At 39.6% G+C, this 11756-nt stretch overlaps 1 annotated feature.

Moving 5' to 3' along the window:
- Positions 2941-3442: an enhancer, noted in NCBI's record as "NANOG hESC enhancer chr2:138829640-138830141 (GRCh37/hg19 assembly coordinates)". NCBI's record gives its function as "activates a minimal SCP1, AML or CMV promoter by ChIP-STARR-seq in naive H9 embryonic stem cells {active_cell/tissue: H9 hESC(naive)}" and the evidence as "EXISTENCE:reporter gene assay evidence [ECO:0000049][PMID:30033119]".

Genomic DNA, 11756 nt, shown 5'->3' with positions numbered 1-11756 from the left:
TAAATTTGAGACAAGTAGGAAACTATTATGACTATATTAACAATGAAGCTAATACTCTTTTGGCATGATTTCTGGGTCACTGAAACAGCCTAGACCTATGGAGCTAAAAGTTGTCTTAGGTGGTGTTTAAAAAAAAAAAAACCAAAAAACTAATAGTATTTAAGGCTACTACCCACCTTAATTCTTTCACACTGCTGAGTTTAAAGACTGCCATATGAATATAAAAGCATAGCCCAATTAAGGATATAGTCTCTTACTTAGAAATTGATAGGTTAGACAATGCTGTAGTATCACTGGAAATGGAAAGAGAGAAAATTAAATTTACCAAAATTTCTCTTAGAATGAGTATTATTTGTAGTTAAAAGGAATAATGTTATAGTCTGCTTCTGGGTTAGGATGGGGAGGCCATGGAGAATATAGCTGAGTAACAGCAGATGATCACTAGACCTACTTCTTTAGAAGGTGGAAGTTAAATGCAAGGATTTATTTAAATTAGTAAATATCCAAACTAGACTACTGTTTTCAGCATTCTTTTTTTCTTCTTTTCTTCCCTCAAATGTCTTCATTTCTTCTCTAGATAAACAAGGAGCAAATACTTTTAAAATATGGGTTTAATGATGTTCCAGGTATGAGCATCCCTGGACTGGCCACATTATTATCTCTATCACCACCTCAAATCTTACCTTCCTGAAGGGTATTGATTGCTCCTGAAGGGTCCTTTAACCCCATCCAAGATTTTGCCTTCTATACTAATTGTGATGGACAGATTCTAAGGTGGACTCCACCCTCATACCCCCTGCCTCCTGTCATGAGTGGGACCTGGGACTTGCTTCTAACCAATAGAATATGGAATATTAGTGGATATTACTCCATGATTAGTTACTATCAGAGTTGCTCTAGAGATGCACCTTGCTAACTCAAAGTTAGCACCTTTTTTGGAAATATCCATAAGGTGAGGAACTGAAGGCAGCCAAAGACATCAGTTTGTTACCGTAGTTACTAAAATCAGTAGGAGAAAGAATGAAAATTCCAATGTTTGAGCCAGACAAATTCATGTCTTTTGAAGGCAATTTTAGGACAGATTGATAACCTTAAAAAAAGAAAGTGAAAAATACCAGTGGATAAACTCAAAACAGAATACACATATACACACTGATTAATCCCATTTCAATTCTATTATCCTTTACCTATTATAAGGGATCAAGAGAGTCCCTGTACATGCACAGTTTTTAAAATGATGCCATTTTGGGTACAGCTGCATTTGTTTCCTTTGTAGGAAGTTAATTTTTCTAACAGCAGTCAAGAAAATCTTCACAAAATTACTCTCATTTTTTAAAGCTTTTTTGAAACTTTTACAACATTAGGCAGAGTGTGAAACCCTGCCTTTTTTCTGAGTAAGAGATGAAATTGTCTAATACAAATCAAGTATGGGTGTGGAAAAGAGAACTTTCAGAAAACTCCCCAAATGCAAAAAATACATGATTCCTTTACCCTGTATTTGCTAAATAACGCCCTCTAAGAGCATTATCTTTTCTTCAAGTACCTCTTTCTAGGAAAATACAGAGTTGAATGTAGTTTACAGCCAAGGAAGATTGGAGACACTGACTTAAAAGTATGTCTGCAACAATGATTACATAGTTAATAATAATAACTTATGTTTGTATGTTGTTTTACAAGGGTGTTGATGATTTTACAAAATTTAAGGCAGAGATTACATTTGACATTTGGAGAAAGGGAGAGAGAGAAGGAGATAGAGTGAGTAAGCAAGGGAAAGAGAGAAAGCCAAGACAAGAGTGGAGGTTTCATACTTTCTACTTTAAGGCCTTACCATCATTCCACCTCATTTTATTAGCATCTGTGCATATGTGGACACTGGACTTTTATCCATCTATCACTCATTCAGGGACACCAAAGAGAGGGAGGAGATTCATCAACTTGTCCAGAAAATCCTGATTCTTTACATCAGTCCTCCTTCCCAAAGTGTAAGCACTAAGTTCTGAATCTTTGAGCACTAGAATTGATTCTTTCAGAAAGAAATTGGGGCCCAAAGAGGTTGCATACCTTGTCCAATAAGAATACAAGCTGGCATATAAAAGAAGGTGCCCACCATTTATTGAGGTCTTACTTTGTATTGGCCAGTTCATATACATCACTGTTAATGCTTTCAGGAAGCCTTATATATAAGAGGAAAGTGAGACTCACACTTTAAGGTACTTGCTTATTAACACAATTAATAAATAACATATGGGGGATTTAAATCAAGGTCTGTTTAATTCAATAGCCCATGCCCCTTTCATTAACTAGGCACTACTTAAGAATCCAGATCTCTTTATTCCCAGCTATGGCTTCTACTTTGGCAATGAGTCTGACCCAAGTTCTAAGTCCAAGTCAGTCTTATGAGGATTTACCCAGAGATTGTTTTTCTCATACAAATAGCTAGAAGTTGAGCTTGTGAGAAGGTAGAAGGGTAGCTATTGGGAAAGGGTCCTTATGTGTATGGTGTATGTGTGTTGCACTCAGGCAGGAGCACACATGGCTCTGCTATAAGAGGTGCAGCAAATGGTGCATGTTCTCTCTAATATTTATGCACAGAGCTATGTTTTTATTTTTATTTTTTGCCATTTATTTGAAGTATAGCTTTTCATTGCCTCCACATGAAGGTTTTTATCAACATGTATCTTCAGATACCTGTTTGAAAGTCCATGGTGACTCAGCCAGTGTAAGCCATTTCAATTCTGGTTAGATCATCATTCCTAAGACCATCAGTTTGATGTCATGGACCCTAAGCCTCCTTGCTGTTTCCTTTAGGAAAGGCAGTGGAAATTTACAGGCACTGAAGGACCCTGTCAAAGGCACCAGGCTTTGGATGGAGCCCTGAATGCAATGTGTCACAGTGAGTATTTACACACCAAATGGAAGGCTTTTCAAGAACAGAAGGTGCAGACAGACACAATAGTCTCTTAGTCATGCTTTAATGAGCTAGGGCTCTTGGCTGAATGGATGCTCAGTAACAGGACGTCTGTGCAATGAGAAAACAAGCAGAGGATGCTTGGGATTTGCTTGGGCAGGTGTCTCCAAAGGGAGGGAAACATGACTCATGACACTTGCGCCTTGAGCTAAGTTGACACCACTGCCATCACCCTTGGAATGCAATTTGTGGGCAGAGATCTAGGCTGTTTATAAAAATGACGTGAACAGCAGTTTCAGCCTCAGGAGGCTCCATAGGAATGATAAAGAAGAGGATTACAGAAGCTAAAGCTTTTGTTTAAAGAGAGATTACAAAGCATTTATTTCGGATCAAGTCAGCCTGAAGCTTAACAGCTAAAACTTGCCCTTTTTTCTGCTCCGTGATGAGTTTTGCTCTTAAACTGAGTGCTCAAATGGGAAGATGAAGATGAGGCTTTATTTGGAATGACCTCAAATGAGGCCGTTGGTTTTTCACTCTTTTGTTAATATGAATTCAGGAAACACGAAGATTAGTAAAGATTCTAATCAATTGCCCAACATTAGTTTTTCTAGTAACAAGGGCAAATGTGCTTTTTAAGTACTTGAAGGTGAAAAGAAAATCAGACAGCAAGAAAGGGGATGCAACAAGGTTAATGCCTCAGAGCTTTTCATAAATTGTGGTTTCTGTGTTGGAAATTGTTCAAAGTAAACACTGCCCATGTTGGGAAGGTAAAAAAAAAAAAAGTTTAAAAACACTCAATCTCTACCCCTTCTGAGGCTGAATTGCATTGACTGCATGGCTGATCCAGTGACTGCAAAAACCTACACATTCAGGAGGTGACTTTTACAAAATGAATTGACAGTGTGGCTGGCAAGATGGCAGAATAGGAACAGCTCCAGTCTGCAGCTCCTGGAGAGATCAATGCAGAAGGCAGGTGACTTCTGCATTTCCAACTGAAGTACCTGGCTCATCTCACTGGGACTGGTTAGACAGTGGGTGCAGCCCATGGAGGGGAAACCAAAGCACGGTTGGGCGTTGCTTCACCCGGGAAGTGCAAGGGGTTGGGAACTCCCTCCCCTAGCCAAGGGAAGCCCTGAGGGACTGTGCCGTGAGGTACAGCACACTCCGGCCCAGATACTACACTTTTCCCATGGTCTTCACAACCCACAGACCAGGAGATTCCCTTGGGTGCCTACACCACCAGGGCCCTGGGTTTCAAGCACAAAACTGGGTGGCCATTTGGGCAGACACCCAGCTAGCTGCAGGACTTTTTTCTCATACCCTAGTGGTACCTGGAATGCTAAAATCCACTGGTTGGAATTCTCACTGCCAGCACACAGTCTGAAGTCTATCTGGGACAGTCGAGCTTGGTGTGGGGAGGGGCATCCACCATTACTGAGGCTTGAGTAGGCAGCTTTCCCCTCACAGCGTAAACAAAGCCACCAGGAAGTTTGGACTGGGTGGAGCCCACCTCAGCACCACAAAGTTGCTGTAGCCAGACTGCCTCTCTAGATTCCTCCTCTCTGGGCAGGGCATCTCTGAAAGAAAGGCAGCAGCCCCAGTCAGGAGCTTACAGATAAAACTCCCATCTCCCTGGGATAGAGCAACAGGGGGAAGAGGTGGCTGTGGGAGCAGCTTCAGCAGACTTAAACATTCCTGCCTACCAGTTCTGAAGAGAGCAGCGGATCTCCCAGCACAGCACTCAAGCTCTGCTAAGGGACAGACTGCCTCCTCAAGTGGGTCCCTGACCCCTATGCCTCCTGACTGGGAGACACCTCCCAGCAGAGGTCAAAAGATACCTCATACAGGAGAGGTCTGGCTGGCATCTGGCAGCTTCCCCTCTGTGACGAAGCTTCCAGAGGAAGGAACAGGCAGCAATCTTTGCTGTTCTGCAGCCTCTGCTGGTAACATGCAGACAAACAGGGTCTGGAATTGACCTCCAGAAAACTTCAGCAGACCTGCAGCAGAGGGGCCTGTTAGTAGGGAAACTAACAAACAGAAAGGAATAGCGTCAACATCAACAAAAACGATGTCCACACCAAAACCCCATTTGAAGGTCACCAACATCAAAGACCAAAGGTAGATAAATCCACGAAGGTGAGGAAAAAAAATCAGCATCAAAAGGCTGAAAATTCCAAAAACCAGAACACCTGTTCTCCTCCAAAGGATCACAACTCCTCGCCAGCAAGGGAACACAACTGGACGGCAAATGAGTTTGATGAATTGACAGAAGTAGGCTTCAGAAGGTGGATAATAACAAACTACTCCCAGCTAAAGGAGCATGTTCTATCTAACCCAATGAAGGGAAGCTAAGAACCTTGAAAAAAGGTTAGAGGAATTGCTAACTAGAATAACCAGTTTAGAGAAGAACATAGATGACCTGATGGAGCTAAAAAACACAGCACGAAAACTTCGTGAAGCATACACAAGTGTCAATAGTCGAATCAATCAAGTCGAAGAAAGGATATCAAAGATTGAAGATCAACTTAATGAAATAAAGCATGAAGACAAGAGAAAAAAGAACAAAAAGGAATGAACAAAGCCTCCAAGAAACATGGGACTATGTGAAAAGACCAAACCTACGTTTGATTGGTGTATCTAAAAGTGACAGGGAGAATGGAACCAAGTTGGAAAACATTCTCCAGGATATTATCCAGGAGAACTTCCCCAACCTAGCAAGACAGGTCAACATTCAAATTCTGGAAATACAGAGAACACCACAAAGATACTCCTTGAGAAGAGCAACCCCAAGACACATAATCATCAGATTCACCAAGGTTGAAATGAAGGAAAAAATGTTAAGAGCAGCCAGAAAGAAAGGTCGGGTTACCTACAAAGGGAAGCCCATCAGACTAACAGAGGATCTCTCAGCAGAAACCCTACAAGCCAGAAAATAGTGGGGGCCAATATTCAACATTCTTAAAGAAAAGAATTTTCAACCCAGAATTCCATATCCAGCCAAACTAAGCTTCATAAGCTAAGGAGAAATAAAATCCTTTACAGACAAGCAAATGCTGAGGGATTTTGTCACCACCAGGCCTGCCTTACAAGAGCTCCTGAAGGAAGCACTAAATATAGAAAGGAAAAACTGGTACCAGCCATAACAAAAACATACCAAATTATAAAGACCATCGACACTATGAAGAAACTGCATCAACTAACAGGCAAAATAACCAGCTAGCATCACAATGACAGGACCAAATTCACACGTAACAATATTAAACTTAAATGTAAACAGGCTAAATGTTCCAATTAAAAGACACAGACTGGCAAATTGGATAAAGAGTCAAGACCCATCTGTGTCCTGTATTCAGGAGACCCATCTCATGTGGAAAGACACACATGGGCTCAAAATAAAGGGATGAAGGACTATTTATCAAGCAAATGGAAAGCAAAAAAAAAAAAAAAAAAAAAAAAAAAAAAAAAAAAGAACAGGGGTTGCAATCCTTGTCTCTGATAAAACAGACTTTAAACCAACAAAGATCAAAAAAGACAAAGAAGGGCATTACATAATGGTAAAGGGATTAACACAACAGGAAGAGCTAACTATCCTAAATATATATGCACCCAATACAGGAGCACCCAGATTCATAAAGCAAGTTCTTAGAGACCTATAAAGAGAGACTTAGACTCCCACACAATAATAGTGGGAGACTTTAACACCCCACTGGTCATAGGGAGGGCAACATCACACACCGGGGCCTGTAGGGGGCAGGAGAATAGGGAAGGGATAGCATTACGAGAAATACCTAATGTAGATGATGGGTTGATAGGTGCAGCAAACCACCATAGCACATGTATACCTATGTAACAAACCTGCACATTCTGCACATGTATCCCAGAACTTAAAGTATAATTAAAAAAAAATAAATTGACCAAAACCCAGACAATTTGTGAACTACTTGTAGACTTGGTCTCTGCTCAGATAGGGATGATTTGTGATCTTTTCTATATCAGGGAGATTTTTTGCTTGACTCTTTCCCTTTCTTTGGGAATTAAAATCTGAAGAAAAATGATACCATTTCAAAGGTACTATATACAAAGTTGGATGTATGGTTGATCATTCATTTATTCAACAGAGAGACATGGAACATGTACTAGATGCTAGGTTCTATTCAGAGCACTAGAAATCCAGGGACAAACAAGACAACTCCTTATATTTAAGTTATTGTAGGGAAGACAAAAACCGAATAGTTAGGCAAAGAAGGATATGCAAAAATATACTTTCAGGCTGGGTATGGTGGCTTACACCTATAATCCCAGGACTTCGTGAGGCCAAGGCGGGCAGATCACTTGAGGTCAGAGGTTCAAGGCCAGCCTGGCCAACATGGCAAAACTCCATCTCTAATAAAAATACAAAAATTAGCTGGGTGTGATGGCACACACCTGTAATCCTAGCTACTTAGGAGGCTGAGGGGTGAGAATGGCTTGAACACAGGAGGTGGAGTTTGCAGTGAGCCGAGACTGCACCACTGCACCCAAGCTTGGGCAACAGAGTGAAACTCTGTCTCAAAAAACCCCCCAAAATATACTTGCATATCATGATGTTACCAAGAAATTAAAGGAGGTGCAATGTAGGAAGTGGTAAGACTGCTTTAGATGTCAGGAGAGGCTTTCCTGAGGTGATATTTGAGAAGAGACCTGAAGATATGAAAGAGCAAGCTGTATAAAGTTCTGACAAAGAAGTGTTCAAAAGGAAGGGGATGGCAGGTGTAAGGGCCTGGGAGCAGAAAATGAGCTCATGGTATTGTAAAAACTTTAAGGAACTAGTGTGGTTGAAGTGGAAGGAGTGAGGAGGAGCAAAGCAGGAGTTAGGTTGGAGAGCCACAGAGAACAAGGGAGCCCACAGCAAAGAGCTGGGCTGTCCTCCCCCATGCAATGGGAAACTGTGGTAGAGTGTTGCAGGGGAAGGGACAGAATCTGAGGTGTAGTTTGAAGGAGCTCTCTGGTGACTGTGTGGAGAATAAACTATTGAGTGGCAAGAGTAGAAGCAACACAGACAGTTTTGAGATAATATCTAAAGTCTGTGAAGGAGATGGTTATCTCAGAGAAGTGTGATATTTGAAAAAGTGAACAAAAGTAACGGGACTTGGATATATTTTGAGAGTAAACCCAGTAGGGCTTTCTAGTGACCTGGATGTGGGGCTGTTGAGGTGAGAGAAAGATTTGAGATTATGGAATGAATCATTTCAATATCTAGGCATCTAGAAGAGCAGTGTACTACCTTCCTTTAAGCACAGGCCCTGATTGAGCTTCAGCAAGTAGAATGTTGGTGGCTGAGATGAAGAAGATAGTGAGAGAGACCTTTTAGGGATTTGAGGTGGAAAAAAATGTGGATATGAACAAGTTATGTTTTAAGCACCTGTGAACTACTGCTAGTACTACTAACAGTAAGTTAGAGATGAGTCTGGAGTCTGGAAGAGGTCTGGATGGGGAATACAAATTGGGACATTATCAACATGTAGATTCTATATGAGATCACGGAAATGGCAGATTGCTGAGGGAGGCAGAGAGAGAACAGGGCAAAGGACCAAGAATGGGGGCAGGACAATATTCAAAGAAGGATATAGAAAAAGAAACCAGCAAACAGAACTGAAGAGGAGCCATCTGTGCAAAAAATAAACTTCACAGAGAATAAAGTAAAGAGAGTATTCTGAGCTTTCTGAATGTTTGAGTAATACAAGGACATAGAACTGACTGATGAATTTACTGCAATAAAAGCACTGGTGACACTGATAAGAGTGATGAGTGAGGATAAAAGCCTGATTATAGAGTTAAAAGAAAATGGAAGGTGAGAAAGTGAAGAGTGAATATAGAAAATGCACTCATTTCTTTTTTTTTCTAAACATAGAAGAAAAAATTGAAGATAGCTGGAGGAGATATAGGATCAAGATTTTTTTTTCACAATGTGTTTACATGCTTTAGTGGTCAGGATAGGCTAAATTATGCTGCAGTAACAAATTGGACCATAAATCTCAGTGGTCTACAACAAAGGTTTATTTTTCACTTATGCTATATATTCAAGGAGGGTTGGCTGAAGGCTATGCTCCCTAGTTTCTCGAGTTCACAGTCTGATTGAGGCTCTGTTGTTTTGTATCTGTCATATATCTGCTCCGTATCTCAAATATGGAGACACCTCATTGCTGCAGCAGAAGAGAAACACTAGAAAAGAATGAATGGGATTTTCACTCTTAGCCTGCAAGTGATGCACATCTAATTGGTCAAAACTAGTCACATGACCTGCGTAACTGCAAAGGCCATGGGAAATGTAGGATAGCAAAGAAAATCTTTTGTAGCATCACTGCCTCTACTACATAAGCTGATAGGAATTATCCAATAGAAAGAATAAATTTGATGTAAGAGCCAAATTCCAGAGCAGACAAGAGGGAATGGAAATCAGTACACTTTGGAGGAACAGTTTCCAGCAGCCTTATCTGAATAAGGATGTTTTACCCTACCCACTGTGTCAGGAAAGAGAGTAGGGTGTATGGATAGAAATTCGTGGAGCTTGGTAGATGGAAAGATGAATGTGTCCTTTTCTGAATAATTTATTTTTTCAGGGAAATAAAACCAAGGTCATCAATTAAGAATGAAGAAAAGGGAATGATTCTTGTAGGTTTTAAGAGAAAGTATGTGTGTAAATATTGGTCTCTAACAGTGGAGAACCAAGTTTACTAGAAACATGAGAGATGACAACAGAGGCAGTATAATGTGCTACTTACTAGTCACAGACTGTTGGGCCAGAGTGTCTGCGATCCAGTCTTGGCTGGGTCACTTATGATCATGGCCTCAAGTAACATCCAGCTAAGTGCCTTAGTTTTGTGATCTGTAAAACTGAGATAATAATGGTACTTACACCATAGAGTTGCTTGGGAGTTCAAAACAGAGCCTGGCACTTTGAAGTGTCAGCTGGTATCATGAGGATAGCCTAACAATGGGACAACTTCAAGTTTACAGTCTTAAAAATGAAGTGATGCCAGTTAATAAGGCTGTGTGGTTTTCCTCTAGCCATGTCCAACTGCTTAGGAAGTTCCACTGCTCATCTTGCTAGGAAGCAGGTGTAGAGTAGGTAGAGAATTCGATGTAACCAGGGTTAGACAAGATGTGCATGAGATAGGGCATTTTGTCCAATGCTCTACTGCTAGGTTTCTCCCTCTCCCAAGTATAAAGATGTTGCATTTCTTATCTGAAATCCTAAGTATTTTTTTTTTATTTTCTGTGAGCTATTTCAGATTTTACAATGTCAAACTTTATAAGAGCCCTATAGAATATTAAGAGGTTTAGAATTCTATTTCTGATTAAATTAGTCCTTCTTCAAGAAAAGCACCATTTATGATTCCATAAAAGTGGCACATTTAGCAGAGACCAACCTACAAGCCTCTCCATGAGAAACTATCACCAAGAGCCACAGAAGTCAGGTAAATTATATTCAAAGCTTTCCTCTTGAAGGTGAAGGAGATGATTTCTATACCAAATAATATTACATTATTGGGATAAAGTTCACATCATATTTTCCATAGGTGACTGCTTTTTTGTCTATTTTACATCCCTGAGTATCTGAACCTTGATCTTTAGGGGGAAAAATACACCACAGTGTCCATTTCAATTTTTCTGCCAGCTTACATACTGCTTTCTTGGTTGCTAATGATCTGAAGCAAATGTCACCAAGTAGAAAAGAGGAATGATTCCAATGAGACTAAATGGGCAGGCCAACTCTACCTCCTCTTTTCACACAGGAATCTGCGAGGTGGCCAACAGAGGAATCTGTTATTGTATAATGATTATAGGACAATTTTCTCCATGTTTTTCTTTGCCTTTAGAAATTTTTTACTTTGGCCTTTTCTGCCAAAAATTGCATCTAGCGTCCTTAACAACCCACACTTTATGGAAACCCTTACACTCTTTGGCAGTAGATCTTACTCACTATCAATTCATTGGCATTCCCCATCCTAAAAATAATAGATTTCTGATTTAAAGGGGTGAGTAGCCTCTTCCAACTATCATTAAAATACAATTGTAAGTATATGCAAATGAAAATATAGAACTAGCAAAATATGTAAATTTAGGATAAACAAAAATTGGAAAATAATGTAATCAAAGAAAAATTATAATATTTATATTGCAAATGGAGCCAGATGGGAAGACACTCCCCATTCCATTCTTCTATTCACAGATGCAGAGACCTAACACCTGGAAAACCAAAGCAATAAGCAATTCTCCTATGGCATTATATTTATAATGCTTACTTTATTTGCTTGGGGAAATTGTGAGTGATTTTGAAATTTTTTCTAATTTTTATTCTTTACTTTGTAATTTTTTAGTCTAAATAGCTTTTAAAAGAGAACATATATTTCATATATGTTATATATAGTCTTTCTGTTTTATATTTCCAAATATTTTTACTATATTCGTGAATTACCTTATAATTAGGGAACAAGATATAGTCTTTAAAAGACAGTGCTTTGGAAGACTTAGAAGAAATTGGTTTTATTACCTCTTATTTTAAGTCAGATTTGCAATAAAATATTTTCTTCCCTACTTGGTATGTTTTATCACCGAGGTGAAGATTATCCTTTTTTTAATGAAGAAGGTTAATTTATATAGTGAATTTTGTTTGGCAAGCAGAGAAACAAAATAGCTGTCTGGGTTCTTGTCCAAAATGGAGGGTATGTTTGTGTCTGTTTCGAACTGTAACCTGATTAGTATGCAGAACAGCCATGAAATAGCTGGATCACCTTAATGCCAAAACTGAGGATGAGTTTTTAATACAAATAACGTTAATAATGTGGAGAGAATTATTGAGATGGTG

The sequence above is a fragment of the Homo sapiens genome, chromosome 2 (assembly GCF_000001405.40).
Source record: "Homo sapiens chromosome 2, GRCh38.p14 Primary Assembly".
In the NCBI taxonomy this organism is placed as follows: Eukaryota; Metazoa; Chordata; class Mammalia; order Primates; family Hominidae; genus Homo; species Homo sapiens.
The sequence above is the reverse complement of the archived record's forward strand: the minus strand, read 5'-3'. Positions and strand labels throughout refer to the sequence as shown.